This window comes from Homo sapiens, chromosome 14 (genome assembly GCF_000001405.40).
Source record: "Homo sapiens chromosome 14, GRCh38.p14 Primary Assembly".
In the NCBI taxonomy this organism is placed as follows: Eukaryota; Metazoa; Chordata; class Mammalia; order Primates; family Hominidae; genus Homo; species Homo sapiens.
Genome location: NC_000014.9, coordinates 65,924,071 through 65,944,840, shown reverse-complemented (window position 1 = coordinate 65,944,840; position 20,770 = coordinate 65,924,071). Strand labels below are relative to the sequence as shown.

At 42.6% G+C, this 20,770-nt stretch overlaps 1 annotated feature.

Annotated features, from left to right (window-relative positions):
• Positions 15,306-15,843: an enhancer, noted in NCBI's record as "H3K27ac-H3K4me1 hESC enhancer chr14:66395716-66396253 (GRCh37/hg19 assembly coordinates)". NCBI's record gives its function as "activates a minimal SCP1, AML or CMV promoter by ChIP-STARR-seq in primed H9 embryonic stem cells {active_cell/tissue: H9 hESC(primed)}" and the evidence as "EXISTENCE:reporter gene assay evidence [ECO:0000049][PMID:30033119]".

Below are 20,770 nucleotides of genomic sequence, written 5' to 3'. Positions count from 1 at the left end.
ACGACAACGCAGTGGGCAAGAAAAGCAGCACTGTTCAATCACTTACTCAAGGAACACATTTATTAAGGCCTACACGCATTCAGGAAATAGATGTAAAAGTACAGTCCTCTCCCTCACAGTCATGGTCTTAGGGGAAGGTCACGGTCTTAGGGGCTCATGGTCTTAGGGGAAAAAATCATCTAATGTACTAGGTGCTTGCTATGGTTTAAATGTTTGTCCCCTGTAAAACTCATGTTGAAATGTAACAGTATTGAGTGGAATCTTTAAGAGGTGGTTAAGCCATGAAGGCTCCACCTTCCCTCATGGGTGGGATTAATGCCATTATAAAAGGGGGAGTTCAGCCTTCTTTTGCCTCTTTGCATTCCCTCCTTCTGCCATGTGAAGATGAAGCATTCCTCCCCGCACCCGGGACGAAACATTCAGGGTGCCATCTTGGAATCAGAATCCCTAAACCTGCCCGCGCCTTGATCTTGAACTTCCCAGCATCCAGAACTGTGAGCCACTACTTTTTTTTAATAAATTGTTCTGTTTGTGGTATTTTGTTACAGTAGCACATAATGGACTAAGTGCTATAAAGCAAACATTTGTTCATTCACCACGCCCCTGCTACATAATAGTCCATGCACCAGTCCCAGGGATCTCATGATAAAAAACACAACTCTTTCCCTCAAAGTGACTCACTCTTTAAAAGGAGAGACAGACATCTAACCAGACAACTGCAATCCGCATGGTTAATACTGTGATTGTGATAAGGCCAGGGACCCCTAACACAGCCTGGAAGTCTTGCAGGACCAGAGAGCCTTCCCAATGCTTTAACACCAGGTGGGACCCCAGAGTCTTGGTGCAACCCCGGGGAGCAGCCTGTAAATGACTAAAATTGAGTTTCTCACAAGCCCAGCTGGGAGGATCAGAGTTGGATTTAGATTTATTTTTTAAAAATACAGAAAAAAGATATTATCTGCACGCTGGGTTATACACTAAGATTTATTTCCACCACACAAATGTGACTCCAGGAAACTGTGGGCTCAGGAGGCAGAACTTGGAAGATTCCCAGAGGCAGGAAATAGGTTTAGAGTGTCCAGAGGATGCACAGCGAGCAATTCATTTACCTCCTCTGCATCCCAGAACTTTGCAATGTTATTCCCGCCAGCCAGGAATGTGATGGCTGTTGGGTGGGGGTGAAGTCAAGGCTGTGTGCGCTGAGATACCCACTCCCTTTTGAATCTCCCCCAAGGACAGAGTCCACAGCCCCCAGAAAACTTGTTCTTGAGTTTTATTATCTCCATGGCCAAAAATGTTCTTTGTCTAACCAAAATCAGTATTACCTTGAATTAAAATCTACTTCCTCTTATTTGGGCTTTGAAGGGGTAGGACAGTGTTTGTCACCCTAAATTATGAGAAAATGCTTTCTAAGCTATGAAGTCTTATGAAAATATTAAGTGGTTTTGTTTTCATCATAGGTAAGATCATGTAGCAGGTGAGGTGGAAGCTAAATTTTATTGAATAACAGCCTGTTCCAGGAACTGTGCTAAGCACATTACATACATTACCTCCCTGTAAACCTACCACAGCCCTCCCAGGTGAGCATTACATTACCCATTTTCCAGATGGGAAACTGAAGCACAGAGAGGTCAAGTAACTTGCCCTTGGTCATACAGCTAGTTTGTGGTAGAGGCAGGACTAGAACCCAGGTCTGTGTGACTCTTTTCAATCTTCCATAATCCAAGAAGATTGTAATTAGGTCACCCATAGTCTTTTCTTCTCTACGTTAAGCAACTCCAGCTCTATTTAATTTTTTATTCTTTTTATGATGGACACTTCATCTGATAGAATATCTGACAGTTTTTAAAGTTTAAAAGCTATTCCTGAGAGGTACAAATAGGTGGAGTTGTCTTAGGAGCTTTGTATATTGTAACCTCTGAGAAGAGTTTGTTCAAATCTTAAAATCCCAGTAGTACTGGGATCTTAAGATAATTATGACCATGTGGGGTCACATGTGAAGTGCTTTATTTAAAAGTGAAGACATACTGTCCATGAGTTTTATTGTGTTGTAATAAAAACTTGATTAATATCCTTTGAAAGACTTAAAATGATATTAATACATAAGAATGGTAGGAAAGGTGGCAGTAGAGAAAAAAATTATCCAGCCAACAAAACCGTTTGGAATACATAATGTTTGTGTGTCAGGGGAAGGGGGTGGTATGCTTGAGGAAGGGGAATTACTAAGTCCATTTGTTATCCATAGTTAACTTTACCTCCTCGCCTTGGTTATGCCAACTTTATCCTGTACTTTTTATTTGTCTAAGCATGAGACAAACATCAGAAAAATTCCAATAGCATCCTACAATATACCTGACCAGTAATCCTCAAAACTGCCAACATTATCAAAGAAACTGTCACAGCCTAGAGGATCCTAAGGAGATATGATGACTACATGTACTGCGGCATCCTGCATGGGCGGAACAGAAAAAGGACCTTAAGTCAAAACTAAGGCAGTCTAAATAAATTATAACCTTCAGTTAATAAGAATGTTTTTTAAAAAATCACCCATCAGCTCCAATTGGGTAATAATGTTATTCATCAAGGATGAGGCCCAAGGATGAGGCCCAAGGATGGATGAGACTAAGGGATAGACGAACCTCACAGTGGGGCAGCAAAACTGTATGAACCCAAGGAGGAGACCTTGACTCTACTCAGCCTCCAGCTGCTGTCTCAGCCTTAGGGCCATCATCTCTTACCAGTGTGGCATGAGCCCTCTGGCCAGTGATGGTCTTGGGTTCTTGACCAGCCTAGGGCCTTCCATAGGATCCACACTCATCCCAGACCACATGATTTAAGTCATGTAAGGTAAGCCCCTCATCTCTCATTCACCACCTTTCAATTGGTCATTGATTTAACTTGGCAAGATTTAAAAACAATCCCCACCACCTTGTTAAGCTCTCCCCTTAATTAGCAGAGGAAGAAATGCAGTTATTGGAAGCAGCCTCTCTCCAGCACACTTCTCCCTGTTTGGCAAATTAAAAGCATTTGGATGAAGCTCTTCTGTGGTCCCAATCAATAGCTCAAGCCATAATTATTCAGTGGTGCTTGCAGTTTTCTGTGCTGACAGCCAGCTGGGTGTGCTGATCTGTAATTGTTTCATATGCTTATGCGGCTGGTCTCTTCCCATGATTGGGTTCTGCAGCAGACTAATCAATAGCATCGTTGGGGAAACTGGGGAATGTATTTGCCAACATCCAAACCTGCTCCCCTCCCCATCTCTCCAGGTGAGATGTTAACCACAGTTACATGAGGCTCTTTTTTATGTTCCTGCTTTTACCCACTTGATGCGGAGCTGAGCAGCACTTTTGGGAGACAAAAAAATGCCCACTTTATAGGATAATTGTGTAATATCAGGCTTTAGATTGTGTGTAGTGGTTATGTGCCAAGGAGCAGTAAACGATAAAATCTTATTAGCTTAGATTTTACCAGTTTCAGAATTACTGATAACTCGGATGGAATGTGAATTTTTGAAGTTTGAATTTTCTCAAGCAGATCATTGCCTAACGGATGGTGCAGCTTCAGGTTGTAAACAAAACTGCAGGGGTGGATGTTTAAGATATTTCAGAGGATTACATTTTTTCGGTATCACCTGTCAGTCTTTTAGAAGTGCCCAGTTACACACAGGCAGCCAATATGTTCCTTGCAAATCCTTCTAGAGTCTGATAGTGGAAAGAAAAAACTCCAACCCTCCCTCTGTATTTCTCTAGACAGGTTACTTAGCTTTCCTTCTGAGTCGGTTTTGTTTTATTTTGTTTTTCTGCAAAATAGAAATATGGCCTGTCAACTTCCTAGGGGTACTGTAAGAATAATAAGAGGAAATAAAAGATATGACAGTGGCTTTTAAATGTAAAAAATAGTGTCAGCTCATTATTTCACACATTAAAGAGAGTATTTTAAACACCTGTGGTTAATTTTTGGTTTTATTTTCTTTTTTATAATTTGCCTATTTAGGCTTACTCCCCATGTTCCTAAAAGTAGTCAAATTAATTCTTTTAAGATTTATTAACATAGATTAACTTAGGCTATATTTCCATTTATGAACAATTAGATCTGAAAAGACTGCCTTTTTACATGAAAAGGAACATGACGCCACTGGTTCCAATGTGAACCTGAGCCCAGGTAGCTTGCACCAAGAGCACTGATTATTAAGTATGATTAGAGACTATACTAGATCAACATATTGAGGCTCCTCTAGAGTATCCTAGGAATGACGTCATGAATGACTATCCCTTGGGTTCAGTGCTGAGATGCATCCAAAATTATGGGTGCTCTTCTTAAGAAGCTGTGGTTTCTGAGGATCTGACCACTTTTCTGTAGGAGAAAATGGCTTGACGGCCTGGGCAAGGCACTGGAACTACACAGCCGTAGAATCTCCTATACATAAGCCTTTTGAAAGTGTCTGCAGTTCCCCCAGTCATCAACACCCTCCCCTAGTTTTTAATAAATACCCGTATTCACATGGTCTTGTAAAAAGTAAGCTGCGTGGAAGCCTGAACAATCATGTAAATGGATGATGTCACTGATGCTGACCTGGGCCCCCTGCTGTCCTTTTACTGAACATACATGTCGCCACGCCCTTGGAAGCACCATATCAGTCTATCTTGACATCATCCTTTTGTTTCCTCCAGAACTGAACCAGCTTGGATAGGGTTCAAGAAGAACTTACCTTATACCAAATCCAAGGCATTTTAGCATCTGTATTGAAAGACTTATTCGAGTCTGCAGAGATAGTTCATAATCATTGTTATTCTATTTTCATTTTCTCACATTCAGCCTCCGTCAACCACCACCCATTCATCACATTTTAAAAAATTCAATGTGAATAATATTGCATATATTCTCTGAGCCACTCTCTCCTTATGTCAGAGGAGAAATTAAAGCAAACCAGTCAAAAATCTCTGGAAACACGGAGTGGGTTGGAAATAGCTGCCTCTTTAAATGAAAGAGAACATGAAAACTGATGGCTCCAACCTGAGAGTGAGCCACACTTTATCCTGGAAGAATTATTAGAAAGAAAGGGACATATATTTCTGTTGATACTGTATATTAAGTGAACTTTCTAAACCCTATTTGTCTGTATTGAATAAATATGCTAAGAATTTTCTATCACGTCCTGTATTTCTTCTGGTTTTAAATCAAAGGGATTAAGACTCCTAATTAAGACACTGGAGGAAGACCTGATCAGTTTTGCTAGTGCAAATTAGTTCAGAGGCCCAGAGCTGCTCCTTTCTGTTTGCTGGTATGGGAGGTTTGTTTGATTTAACATGATTGAGGAAATGAAATATCCCTAAGACAAAGAACCAATACTGCACTTCTGGAGAGTGGCTGAAGGGAAACTGGATTGGAATTGCACATTAGTAGTGGATCCAAAATAAAACCAGAAGGAGAAATGTTCTTTAGAAGGAAAATGTGATGACTAATCATTTGAAATAGATTGTACCTTCTTCTTATCTTTTTTTTTCTTAAAGGAGCATAAATGAGTCTCAGTTTTCTAACAAGGTCCTATGAGTTTGGGACATTGTCTTTCCTTCCTTCGGTTCATGTCAAGGTTTTAGATACATTATCTTGTTATTATTCACAATATTTCTACAAAATCATTATTATTATTACCCCTATTTAACAGATAAGGAATCTCATATTCCAAACAAAGATACAGTAAATCCTTATTTGGAAAATGTGACTTAAAGCAAAGATACAGCAGGTCATTGAATAATGTCGTTTCCTGCAATAATGTCATTGGATTTCATCATGACGTTGATGAGGGAAAAAATGTTGGTTTCTAATATATCTTGTTTCACTTAAAGTCACAGTTTCCAAGAACCCACTGAGGATGTCAAGTGAAGACCTACTATATTGACCTCAGGTGAAGAATTCTGTGAGATCTTGGTGACTGTTTCTGATTCCACTGATCCATATTCATTTAGTAAGTCTGAGAAGAAAGATCTTCATCAAAGACAGTACAGCCTTACCCAGTTTTGGTGTTGCATTTTGTGTGGTTTGGTTTTATTCCTATTTAGTGGATCTGGTCAGGCCAGGATGATTCTCCAAGGGCAATGGGAAAAACAGGCAGGATGCACAGAGTACTCATGTATTATCAGCAGAAATCAGACCACAAACAGCCTGGAATGGCTGTCTCTCAACCCAGGTTTGGGTTTGCCTTCTCAAGGCTGATTTTCTTCTCCTCCCTGTCTCCCAGGGTACACAATTTGCACTTACTTCTTCAAGACCTTGAGGGCACTTTTACAACTTCCGTGCTCAACAAATTCAGTTGTTTGTATCTTACTTACATACTAGTGTTCAATAAAAATTAAACTTCTTGTGTTGTTTGAGGGAAAGGGAGCTGAGGTCTACTGTGTGGCTGTGTGCTACATATTTGCGGTGACAATCACCTTTGTCAGGGGATTGTTTCTAGTACCTTAAGGGTTGATCCCATTTTATGTCTGAGATGGCTAGTCAGACTTTGAGAAAGAAGAGGATGAAAGATGGACCATTTTAATTTTGTCAAGTTAGATGTGGTAATTCAGAGCAAACCCAAATCAACCAGTTCCTACTTCCTACTCCATCACAGATGAGACACACACACACACACACACACACACACCAATAAGACAATGGGATATATATGTGTGTGATAGATTTATGTGTGCATGTGTGTGTGTGTGTTTATATGGTAGATGAGACACTGGAAACTTTAAGACCTGGGTTTCCATGAGTAACACATAATGGGGTAGAAATGTGTAATTGCTATGTGTGGACAAAGTGGATGTGAAAAATCAGTCCCTAACCATGGGATTCAGGAGTCCTGGAGGAAGATTCCAACCATACCAATTATTGCCTTTTCTGTTACTTATCTCCTAGAAGCACTGATGTCTATGACTGTCATGTGACTTCCTGCAATGTATCAGGCCAGGGCTTAACAGGCTTCCAGAAGTACATTGACTTAAGGTTACCCAAGATTTGTTTTAATCAGGTATGGTAAGACACGTAGACATGGAAATGACTGCCATGAAGGGAGAAGTTTGTTATACTCACAGAGCTCTAAAAACAGGAGGCACTGGCGGAACAGGAGGAAACAGGAGCAAGAGAATATGTGGTGGGCAAGAATTTCTATTGTGGTTTCCGCGGGAAGAAACAAGCAAGGCAAGGCGAGCAGGTTTAGGATTCACTAGTTTGAATAATTTCAGCAGACTCTGGGGAATAGCATTGCCTGGTATTTTGGTACTTGGCTCTGGGATGATTAGGGAAGGGGAGAGTGGCCCAGAATGTGAGAGCCATAAAGGAAGAGGTTGGGGTGTGGGCTCTGGATGGGCTGGTTTGCGTATGAAAGGCACGCTCTCAGGCTATTTGTTTACTATCTCTAGGAATTAGGTAGCCCTGGGAGAGTCAGTCCCTACAGGGTTAGCAAAATCCCAAGATGTCAAAGCATCCAAATACAGAAAATAAAAACACAGTGTTCATACATTTTGAACTTTGTACTTCCTGTGGTTCTGAAGACAGAGAAAGGGCTTCCGGGGTACTGGTCTCATGTATGTGGGGAAACCTTGACTGTGACTCTTCAGTATGTGAAAGAGTTAATGGCAGAGGGGAAAGCCCTACTTTTGGGGGGTTTGGGGATAAGTGTACAATTCAGTAGTTTTTAGCATACTCACAAATTGTGTAACTATCACCACCATCTAATTCAAGAATATTTTCATCACCCCAGAAAGAAATTCTGTACCAGTTAGCAGTCACTCACTGTTCTTCCTACCTTCAGCCCCTGGCAATCACTAATCTACTTTCCATCTACATGAATTTGCATATTTGGACATTTCATATAAATGGAATCCTACAGTATGGAGCCTTTTGTGTTTGGCTTCTTTCACTTAGCAAAATGTTTTCAAGGTTTATCTGTGCTGTAGCATGCATTGATATGTCATTCCTTTTACAGCCAAAAAATCTTCTGTAGTATAGATAGACCACATTTTGTTTATTCATTCTTCAGTTGATGGACAGTTGGATTGTTTCCACTTCTTGGCTATTATGAATAATGCTGCTATGACATTTGTGTACGAGTCTTTGTATGGATGTATGCTTTTATTTCTCTCGGATGTATACCTGGGGGCGGAATTTCTGGGGCATATGGAAGCTCTATGTTTAACTTTTTGAGAGACTCTCAAACTGTTTTCCAAGATGGCTGTGCCAGCAATGTATAAGGCTTCTGATTACTTCACATCCTTGAAGATACTTGTTATCATCTATCTTTTTGATAATAGCTGTCCTAGTGGATGTGAAGTGGTATTTCACTGTGGTTTTCATGTGCATTTTTCTAATGACTAATAATGTTGACCATCTTTTCATATGAAAGCTCTATTTTTTTGTGATTTTTCCTCAGAATGTGTGGTAAAAATAAACAAGAAAAGGCAGTAAAAATCATTCTTAGTTTTATAACTCAGAGATGATTTCTAATACTTTTATATATATATGTGTATATATAAAAGTATATATTATATAAAGGTATTATATATCTTATATATAGAAAGGTGTTACTATATGTACATATATGTGTATATATGTATATAAATACCTTTATACACATATATGTATGTATATACATATATATAAAAAATCTACTATTTTGGAGGATCTAGATTGTTTCAAACTTTATGCTAACTTGGCAACAACATACTGTAGTCAAATTTTTGTAATAAATCTTTGTAACCTTTATAATAAATCCCTTTATATATAATATGTATACACATATGTATGTACATATACATATGTGTATACATGTCCATAAATACCTTTATATATAAAAGAAATATACCTTATATGATATATAATTATATTATATACAAAATATGTTATATAGTTATTAATATATATTACGTTATATGTGATACATAATATTGTTACAAGTATATATAAAGGTATTTATTATAAAGGTATTTATATGTGTATATATATATACACATATGAGTGTGTGTGCGTATATATATATATATATATATATATATATATATATAAAGGTATTTATTCTTTTCAGATTTCTTCCAAGAAAGAATATAGTCATGCTGCATGTGCTACTAACTTCCCTTTTTAATTGAATATATATTATGAACATCTTTCCATGTTAATACATATTTTCTACAATATTATTTTATATGGCTGCATATCATTCCTCTGAATGCATTTACAGGATTTATTTCTCCAATCTACTATTTCGGAGGGTCTAGATTATCTCAAACTTCATGTTAAGGTAATCTGGCAAACAACATTCTGTAGTCAAATCTTTGTACAAATGTTATTAGTTTCATAGTATAATTAGCCAGAAGTGGAACTTCCAAGTCAAGCAATATGCAAAATCTTAAGGTTTGATGTGTGTAAAACTGGCAATGCCAATTTCATCTATTGTCAGTTGCCAAACTCTGGGCTTAGTTGAGTTCCTTTCTACTTCCACTTCAAACTTGACACTGAGGACATGGCTGGCTATCTTAGTTAGTTAGAGAACAGAAATAACAAAGGCAATTTCTTTGTGGATTTGTTTTCTGTCTGATAAGCCTTGAGTGGTCCTTTCCAGCCAATTTATAAATGTCCATTATTGGTCATGAAGTCAACAGAAGGAGGGAATGTGGCCAAATATCCCTATTTCCTTCAGGTCTCACTCAAACACCACTTCCTTTGGGAGCCTCCCCAGCCACCTGCTAAGCCAGGTGGTGGGATTTAGAGGGGCTCTGTTTGCCTTGGTCATCAGCTAGAAGCTCTATGAGGACAGGTACAGTCTAACTTGCTCAACCTTGTGTCCCCAGCACCTGCATAGCACCAGAAAAATACATGTTTGCTGAATAAATGAATAAAAGAATGAATTAATACTATTGAGAGAAAGAAGCCAAAGCAAGCCTTAGTATTGTTCGGCTGTACACAAAGAGAAACACAACTATTATTGATGACTGCAAATAGAGACAATATAATGACCAAACATGTCAGCTTCCTGCCTTGCTGAGAAGGAAAGGGAGGGAGCAAACACAATTGAGTGTGCATTGTGTGCTCTGCATACATTATTTCATTTAACCCTCACCACAATAATACCTGTCGAGTAGGTCTTATTAGCCCCATTTTAGGTGAGAAAACCAAGACCCAGAGAAATGTTGTTACTTAACCTAAGATCTCACATCCATAAAAAAGAAGACTTGGTATCCCACACCAGATCTATCTGCTGGCAGAGTACCTTTTTGCTTTTGCTACATAGTCACATTCCATTTATTCCAGAAAGGTGAGAAACAAATCTAACTATGTGTGGTCTGAGCAAGGCTATCAGGCCTTTTACATGGCTCTGTGGGTGACCGATGTTGTCCTAAAATGACATTATGTCTCATTTCACCATGGAGAGGCCAAACTAGAAATGGCCTGATTGGTCTCAAAAGCAACGTGCCTTTGGGGGCCAATTCTGCTTATGCTCCTGTCAAAGGGGCACCTATTCAGGACATGGGTCATGGTGACTCCCAAGTATTGATGGCATAAGTAATGCACAGCCTGTACGGCCTCCTCACCAGCAGTCAGAAAAGCCATATATCTGCCAGCTAATTCTAAGAGCAGTGTTCCCCTTCGCGCAGATTTGTGACTCTCCTGGGCCTTGTAGGCACATTTAAACAATGAAAGAAGATTAACCACTCAGCCAAAGAGACAATTTTAATGTCACCAACATAGCATTGACTTTTTCCATTTCAAACATTCTGCTGGGATAATTCGATGCAAGGCTACCATGTATACCAGAAATACTCTCTCACATTTCAGCAATATCTGCCAGGGGAAGTCATTCCAAAGAGCTTTTAAGTCCTGCTTAATTGCAAGACCACTGAATGAGTCTGAGCTCAGCTGAGCCAGGACAAACTGGCCTACTTCAGCATCCCAGTAGGGGATTTTCCCCCTTAAAATGGAGATAAATGGGTCTTGCCTAATCGCCAAGCAGAGTGAACTTGGCCAAGTTGCTGTCAGGCCTGAAGTAGACCATGACCTCCTCAGGGGACCATGAGGCCTGACAGGATTTCTCTTTGACTTCCAGGGTCTTAGATCCACAATTACTTTAAAAAAAAAAAAATGGGGATGCGTATACTAGCCTTCCTTATTGACAGGTTTTCAAGGGGTCATGAGCAGAGTCCCTGTGGTTGGAGACAGGGGTTAATGAGACTCACTTCCCTCAGTCTGGCCAGGCTCTTCGAAGTCTGGTCTGAGACCAGAAATTGGGCCTGAATACAACTGGGTAGGACTGGGAGGGAAAGTTGCTGAGATCTGCCAAATGCCTTTCCCTAATATTATTAGTGCTTAGTAATTCTGGCAACTTTAGGATCCTAAATTGTTGTCTTCGAGTGCAGAAAGAAAAAAGGAGAGGGGCCAAATTGAGAAGTTTAAGAAAAGCACAGTTTTTAATGGATCAATTTTCTGTTGCCTCTAGTCTGTTCGAAAGAATACAATTCTATGAACCATTATTCACGAGCACTCATAGATAATAATTACAGTAACAACAACATAAATCTCCCCTGATACGGGCAAGGAGTAGCTCCCCAGACATGTTTAGTAAGCTGAGGGAATAGATGATAAACTCTTCAGGGCACTTGTAATTATAAAAAAAGAAATCATTCTTATTTGTCTTTAGGATTTAGAGATATACAGATGGCCACCTATCTGGGCTCAGTAGTCTCCACACTTTTTGGGTTATTTACCCCATCTGTAAAATTTGTTTCAGCACATATCCCCCAGTATGTCATGTGTCTATGCATTTTATGCATGTCTTCCCATCTTCACCTATTAGGTACATTTAAAAACATATACAAGAAATTGAAACTAGCACAGAATCAGATAAAAATCAATAGAAGTAAATAATACCATGTTTTCTTCCTTCATCTCAAAAGATTGTCTAGGTCCAACTCATTCTGAAGACCCCTGCTCTAAATCTCATGGAACTTGCATTAATCAGCTTGGCTACCATAACAAGATCCCATAGAGCAGGTGGCTTAAACAACAGAAAATCATTTTCTCATACTTCTGGAAGCTGGAAGTTCAAGAGCAAGATGCCAGCAGGGTTGGTTTCTGGTAAGGCCGTACTTCCTGGCTTGCAGAAGGGCACTCTCCTGCTGCCTTTTCACATGGTCTCCCTCTGTGACTGCACACCCCTGGTGTCTCTCTGGTGTCCAAATCTCCTTTTATTATTTATTTATTTACTTATTTTTGAGATGGAGTCTTGCTGTGTCGCCCAGGCTGGAGTGCAGTGGCGCAATCCTGGCTCACTGCAACCTTCGCCTCCCAGGTTCAAGCAATTCTCATGCCTCAGCCTCCTGAGTAGCTGGGACTATAGGTATGCGCAACCACACCCGGCTAATTTTTGTATTTTTTGTAGAGATGAGGCTTCACCATGTTGACCAGGCTAGTCTCAAACTCCTGACGTCAAGTGATCTGCCCGCCTCGGCCTCCCAAAGTTCTGGGATTACAGGCATGAGCCACCATACCCGGCCCACATTTCCTTCTATTATAAGGACATATGAATCTGGTGGTGGTGGGGAAGGACACAATGCAGCCCATACTAAAGCCTCTTACATATGAAAGTCCAGATGCTCCCACAGGAAAAAAGGAGAAGCTGCTGTTTGACACTGGTGCCCAGGGGAAGTGTCTTGGGGTTCTATCTGTCCTTACACCATTAGTTACATGCACTTGCATTGCAACCCCCCGGGGGTAATGTTGCCCCTGTGATAACCATAGGATCACCTTTCTCAGAAGCCAGAGCTGATCTTTCTAATGTCAGGTAATGTCAGGCCACTGGCTGACTTCCCAGAGCTGACAGGTCACTTGCTCCCCAACCTCACAAAGGAGAAAGGCAAGAGAACTTCCTCCCCAAGAGCCTTGGACAGTCCTGGCTGGTCCTTCCTCAGTCTCTCTCAGCTGCAGAAGCACAAGCCAAGGCACTAAGGAGTTAGTATCAGAAGATCCCGTGATGAGCCTAGTCCATGAAACTCCTTCCAATATGGTGCAGAGGCAGGGCTGGTCCTTGGCAACACCTTCAATAGTATCCTTTTACATATTTGCCTCCCTCTTTGAACATCCTCTAATTTCAAAATCGTTCAGGGCTAATGCCATAGTGGACGGGCCTCCATGATTCATATGCCCAGGTGATTCCTACTTTTTAAGAGACTCAAGTGTATGTTGGGGTGGGGTGGGGTGGGGTAGGACAAAACCAATCCAAAGGAGTTAATCTCTAATGCTGGAATTTCAGATACTAGGAAATTCTAGGTTAGGAAACTATTTGAGAAGTAGCAGAACCTTCCTTGGCCATTCAAATCACCTCTGGACAAGAGATACTGATGTTGGCTACAGTATTCCTATCATTCAAAAGCTACCACTTCCTCTGTGGAACAACTCTTGTCCAAAAGGGACATCAGTGAGAGGGGTTAGGATCTGACTTCAGATGATGTTGACTCCAAGTTATTGATTCCAGGCTAGGGAGCAAGCTAGACAGTGACCGTCTCCAATAATGAACAGATGAAGTGAATCAGTGGATTGGTGGGAGGCTAACATGAGGCTCTGGAACTCTGCCACCTGAGTTCCAGTTCTGGGTCGGCCACGTCCTTCCTGCTATACTCTCTATGCCCCGTTTTCTTATTTTAAAATTGGGATAACAGTAATGTCTATTTCATGGCATTGTTAAGGGTTTTAAATGAGATAATACAAGTTCTTAGCATAATGCCTGACTTTTAACAAGCTCCCAGCCAATGTTAGCCGCTGTCATTCCCAAGGGTCTACCAAGTCAGAAGGCCTGAAATCAGGCAAGAGCATGGCAAGCTTGCCTCTCTTCAAAAGTGATGGAGATCTGCAGGAAGAAGGACCCATAATAAGAATTTTTTCTATTAATACAATAAAATATAAATATGCAGAATGAGTATTTATTTATTTTTGAGATGAGGTCTCAACTCTGTCACCAGGCTAGGGTGTTGTGGCATGATCTTGGCTCACTGCAACCTCCACCTTTCAGACTTAAGCAATCCTCTGACCTCAGTGTCCCGAGTAGTCGGGTCCCCAGGTGCATGCCACCAGACCTGGCTAATTTTTTGTAGTTTTGATAAAGACAGGGTCTTGCATTTTGCCCAAGTTGGTCTCGAACTCTTCAGCTCAAGTGATTCCCCTACCTGGACCTCCCAAAATGCTGGGATTACAGTCATGAGCCACTGTGCCCACCCAAGCATTTAAAAATACATAATGCAGAATAGTGGAGGCTTTTCAGGGCAAAATGGAGACAGGCTTTAAAAGGCAAATGCTGATTTTGAATTCCTGGAAATACTGTGAAGAGATGAGGTGAACGCTATCCAGGGGCTTTAGCATTGGGAGGTGATGGTGAGAATAAGAAGGAAAATTAGCCAGGAAAATTTTAACCTTGAAAATCAGAGCCCAAAACAATGGGTCTTAAGTTTTTGGGGATCACAAATCCCTCAGAGCATCTGATAGCTATAAACATTCTCCCCAAAAACCCCTCACATTCACATAAAACTCTAGATATAATCCCAGGGTGACCCTGGACTCCCTAGATCCTGAAGGAACCTGTGACCCCAGATTAAGAATCTCTTATAGAAGGAAAAGCCCACAGATGACATGGCTTGATGTCAGAGAAGATCTGGAAGCATGCGCATAAAGCTCAGACACTGAGCCCGGCCAAATGGGCCCTAAGGAAGCCACCTGGGCCATAGCCCCAGCCTGGCCATGTAGAATGTATATCTGAAAGTGGCCCCCCTGTGGCTATAGAGTTATGTGGACACCTACCAATGGTATGTGCTGGACTCCAAGGACCAAGGTGGGCAGTGGGGTATAGTTGGAGTTGGGGGACAGCAGGGAAGGAGCAGGGAAGGAGCAGAGCAGCCCACGGCAGCAGTCATTTCCCTTTGGTGAAGAAGCCCTCCCCCTGTAAGTAAAGGGAAGTCAGGGAAGTGTGACCTGAACTCAGAGAGGAAGGCTGCAGACCTCACAATGGTGTGCCTGCCACCGCTCTGCAGATCTGTTGGGTTCCTAGAAGTCGCCCTGGACCCCATTCTCTCCCCGCCCTGCTTTCTGGTTATCCCACACATCATCTCCCTTTTGCCTCCTTCCCACCACCCTGGCCCTCAACAGTCACCCAGACTCCTAGGAGTCGCATCCCCACCATCGCTGCCCCTTTAGCCCTCTGGGATTTATGATCCACGCTGCAGCCAGAGTGCTCTCCAGAATCACATCCAGCTTCCTGCGTGCAGCTTCAAAGCTGTGTGGTGGGCGTGTTCCCACCCCCCAGCCACTTCTCTTGACCCCACCACCTGATGGGACCCATTGGCTGAGCACCCTGTGGTCCAGCTCCCTTTCGACCCCCCAGGGCTCTCAGCCTCCCCAGCCCCAAACCCTTTGCCTGGCCAACTCTACACATCATTTAGGTCACTTGTCGCCTCCTTTAGGAAGTCTTTCCCAGCCTCTTCTCCACCCCGCAGCATCTCTTACCACTACCCTAAACTCCAGCCAGAGGGACTATGGTCTCTGCAGTCCCCTCTAAGCACTCTCCTGGGCTCCAGGCCATTCCTCCTCCTGCCTCAGCTCAGCTGGTGCCACTCCCTCCAGAGGCCTTCAAAGCCTTCCAGAGGGCTAGGGCTCCCACATGCGCTCAGCTCCTGGCTTTCTCCCTGCAGAGGTCTTGCCTCACCTGTGGGCTACATGCTCTTTCCCAAAAGGGTCTGTGCCTTGTTTACTTGTCCTGGGTAGTATTGGGTTGTTGTGAGGATGAATGAGTGGCATGTAGGTGAAGCACTTAGAACAGTGCCTGGAAAACATCAGGAGCAACTGTTAGTTCTATTATTCTTATTGCTGTTATCATCACCATCATTATTATTATCATTGACTGCTATAACCCCAGTGCCTGATATAGGGAGATATCCAATAAGTTTTTGTTGAATGGATGGATGGAAGGATGGATGGATGATAAAATTGTGTATTATTGCAGTCATCCTCAGTGCTTTTTATTTTCGTTTCAATGCCTTTTTTAAAAATCACTTCGTGTTCTTCAAAATATCCTGGGGAGGATTCTGGATCTGGCAAACCCTGAGGCTGAAGTGTAGAAAGACCATCCAAGAATCACGCCAGAAGGGGACAGAATGCAGCAATCCAGGTCCTTGCACCCCTCTCCTTCAGGATTCACCTTCCAGGAGAGTTTGAGAGGTCTACCTCTCAGATCAGCATTGGGAGGAGATGGGGAGAATTTCAGGACCAAAGAATGGGGTCCCATTGTGCTTCCTGAGTCTTCATGCTCTACTACTGCTGCCCAGGGCAGGGGGTGGGGGCCGTGATTGAGCACATTCAATCCCACTGAGATTTCATTAACTTGCATTCATTTGTGTCACTTAATTATTGTGAACGGGATCCTTCTCTAATAAATGTGTTTTCCTAACCCACAGCCTCTGGGCTATCATTCTAACCATATCTATTATGACTGAATGGCTTCTTGGAAACAGAGTGGCCTTCTTTGTATTTGGAGCTAAGTAGGGCATACTAAAGAGCTTCCCGCCCTCCAGAAAAGGGGGGTGGACAGGCAAGGACTCCGTGCTCTGGGGACCCAGCCTCCCGCTCCTTCATTGTGAATCACCTGCTGAAATAAAGGATCTGGAGCCTGGTGTGTTTATACAGCAGCGCGCCAGGCGACAGCTAAGGTGTTACACCGCAGCCTTCCAGGAAGGGGCAGGGGCCTGCTTGTGGGTTTAAATAACACGGCAACTGAGAAAGCTTATTCATCTTGATCTGTTGGCCTCATCAGTGAAGTGAAGGTGCTGAGATAACATCAAGCGAAAAGCAGCCCCACCCTGGGGGAAAATTTAGATCCTAGGTCTTTCTCATGAACATTCCTATTTAAAAGGAATTCTGTGCCTGCGCAGGGTTTTGTTTCCCTCTGCAAACTCCCTCTGTTTGAGTTAGAATTCTTCTTTCCTCTCTTGCCCTCCAAAATAGATCTCACTGGGCAGCAGAAGCTGGGTTCTTAAAAACAAGCAATTGTATTTAATTGCAAACTCCACAAACAAATGAGCAGCTGTATCTGTATTGATGAATGAATGTCTTTTGTCTTTACAGATACTTTAAAAAATGCATAGTCAACAGAGAACTGTATGCTATTTGGGAAATAGATTTACCTTCTTAATTATATTTTTACTTGTCCTTAGATTAAAATTAGTTTGCTTTGCCTGAGCTGACACTGCCTTGGGTGGTGAGAGATGATTAGAGAGAATCCTGCGGGGAGGAAAAGCTGATCTGATATGAAATATCTGGGGCCAAGGTCCTGTAGGGGGATGGTCTTTGAGGACTCAAAGAGCTGAGGGTTACTTGGGGCTCCTTTCCCTCAGTTTTACAGAAGGTACTTCTGGCTGGCAAAGATGTCACTGATCAGTTTTCAGGAGGAATTATTGTGGCTCACTGAAGAAGGTGTCTCTCCAAACTCACAGATCCTAATGATCACTTTATCAACAGAGAAATGAAATCTAGGATGGGGTCTCTGTGCTTGGCCGGAGACCCTGCATCCTCTTTAGCCAGGATTCTCTTGTGGAGATAAGGAGCTTCATCAGTAATTGTGGATCTTACTAACTCCACCCAGCTAAGACTTGAAGTTCTGGTCTAAATGAGCAACAAACATTGAGGTTGTTGGGGTTTTACAAGCCCTCCCAGCCCTTGTGCTGGCAAAAGAGGAAGCCTGTGCATGAAAGCCAGACTTTGCCATAGCAATGATGCAACTCCATGAGTGGAAGAACACCAGGGTTCTTCGTCTCAAGTCGAATTAGATAAAATAACACGGACACACGTGGAGTCGTTTTAAGGACTGGAGAGTTTAATAGGTAAGAAAGAAGGGAAAAGAAAGAAAGCAGCAGCTCCCCTGTACAGAGATGGGGGGGGTAGGGGGCGGCTCCAAAGCGAGAGAGGGGACCCCAAGTACGCAGAAACCAGCCAGGTATATGGAGAGGCTGGAGGAAGCAGTATCTGATTTGCATAGGGCTCAGAGGATTGGTTTGACCAGGCATGTCATTCACGTAGCCCTTGAAAAAACTGACTCTCCCACCCTAGCCTTTTAATATGCAAATACAGGGCGCCATAATGTTCTACACACGTGGGGATATGTGGGGGCAGCCATGTTGCCAGGAACATGTGGGGCAAGGGGAAGAAGGAGGCAGGCAGCAGGAATCCTCTTGTTGGGGTGGACCCAGTTTCTAATGGCCAACATTTGCATATGAAAGATTGCCTGCCCAGCTCTAAGAGCCAGGGCTTTCCTGCTAGACAAGAAATGTTTCTGGAGCTGCTTTAAAAGAGATGAAAACTTTCCAAGGACCGCTTTTCCTATCTGCCTAGAACAATTTTTAATACCTCCTATCGCAGCAAGTCCCCATGTAGTGGGACAGCAGAAAGTGTGTTCAGCAAGGAAGAGGTGCTGTGCCTTACTTCCAGCCTCACCTGCATAAACCTTCTGCTCCAGCCTTCATTCTCTCTTATCCAATGTGCTGGCCTATTAGAAGATCTAACAGGTAGAGACACTAAAGAAGGTTCTTTTGTGTATGCAAGACTGATCATGGAAAGCCTCTCATGAAACACCAGGTGTGAGCAAAAAATAAACTTCCGTTGTGTTAAACCACTGATATTTGGGAATTCGTCTGTTACAACAGCTAGCATTACTTAACTAATAAATCTTCATATTTAGGAAGTAATAGGGAACAGCTTTCTCTAAGTTATAGTTTCTTCCTCCCTTCCAATGACCCATATCTTGTATATACAAAGATGTCTTTGGAATGAATGGAAATTAGTTCATTAGTTCTAGAAAACACAGAAGTTAAGTGAGAGAGAAGTTTATCTCTTCCAAGAATATGTTGAGAAAAGGAAAGCAGATGAAAAGCATCTTGAAAGAGATTTTAAGCTTCTTAGTTGGTAAGAGTGATATTATAAGCCTCTTCTTTATAGTGCTTCCAGTATGTATGGAAAGTGATGAGTGGTGAGAAGTGGCATTACCATCTTATAAAGGAGAAACTGAGGCATGGTGAATGCTTTGCTGAGAAATCCTTCAAATCAGACCTGCTGGGTTTGTGACCCCCCATTCTACCAGCTTAATGAGACTGTGCAAATAAGACCAGTGTTATAGCCCTATTGAGAGACAGGACTAGCTGGATTTCCTAGGCCAACTAAGAATCCCTAAGCCTAGCTGGGAGGGTGACCACTTACACCTTTAAACACGGGGCTTGCAACTTAGCTCACACGCAACCAATCAGATAGTAAGGAGAGCTCACTAAAATGATAATTAGGCAAAAACAGGAGGTAAAGAAATAGCCAATCATCTGCTGCCCGAGAGCACAGTGGAAGGGACAAGGATCGGGATATAAACCCAGGCATTTGAGCTGGCAACGGCAACCCCCTTTGGGTCCCCTCCTCTTTTATGGGAGCTCTGTTTTCACTCTATTTCACGCTATTAAATCTTGCAACTGCACTCTTCTGGTCCATGTTTGTTACAGCTCGAGTTCACTCGCTGTCCACCACTGCTGTTTGCCACCATCACAGACCTGCCGCTGACTCCCAACCCTCCGGATCCGGCAGGGTGTCCGCTGTGCTCCTGATTCAGCGAGGTGCCCATTGCCGCTCCTGATAGGGCTAAAGGCTTGCTATTGTCCCTGCACGGCTAAGTGCCCGGGTCCATCCTAATCGAGCTGAACACTAGTCACTGGCTTCCACGGTTCTCTTCCGTGACCCACGGCTTCTAATAGAGCTATAACACTCACTGCATGGCCCAAGATTCCATTCCTTGGAATCCATGAGGCCAAGAACCCCAAGTCAGAGAACACAAGGCTTGCCACCATCTTGGAAGTGGCCCGCCACCATCTTGGAAGATGCTCGCCACCATCTTGGGAGCTCTGTGAGCAAGGACCCCCGGTAACACTATCAAAGGAAGTAGGTGGCTGGGTGCAGTGGCTCATGCCTATAATCCCAGCACTTTGGGAGGCTGAGGTGGGCGGATCACGAGGTCAGGAGATCGAGACCATCCTGGCTATCACGGTGAAACACCATCTCTATGAAAAACACAAAAAATTAGCCAGGCATGGTGGCGTGCACCTGTAGTCCCAGCTACTCGGGAGGCTGAAGCAGGAGAATCACTTGAATCCGGGAGGTGGAGTTTGCAGTGAGCCGAGATTGTGCCACTGCACTCCAGCCTGGGCGACAGAGCAAGACTCCGTCTCAAAAACAAAAACAAAAAAAAGTAGGTTAAAAAAAAAAAAAGGAAGTAGGTGTCAGATTCTCCTCTACAGTAATCCCCCTTATCCATGGCGTATATGTTCCAAGACCCCCATATCCTGGGGGTCTGAAGTGCCTAAGTTTTAGTCTGGATGACTGAAACCATGGATAGTATTGAAACCTATATATATATATTACGCACAAATTTCGTTTTCCTTTTTCACAATTTCAGATAGAATATTCATCCTTATTTAATATCTAAGCAACCTGAGCATATGATTTTTTAAATTTCCTTATAAGTCAAGAACTTTCACCTTTTCACTTAAAGTAGGCACTTCACAGCTTCTCTTTGGCATATCCGAATTGCCAGCATCATACCTCTTGCGCTTTGGGGCCATTATTAAGTAAAATAAGGGTGACTTGAACACAAGCTATACGATACCTTGACACTTGATCAGATAACAGCCAGCTCCTAAGTGATTCGTAGGAGGGGACATGCAGAGCATGG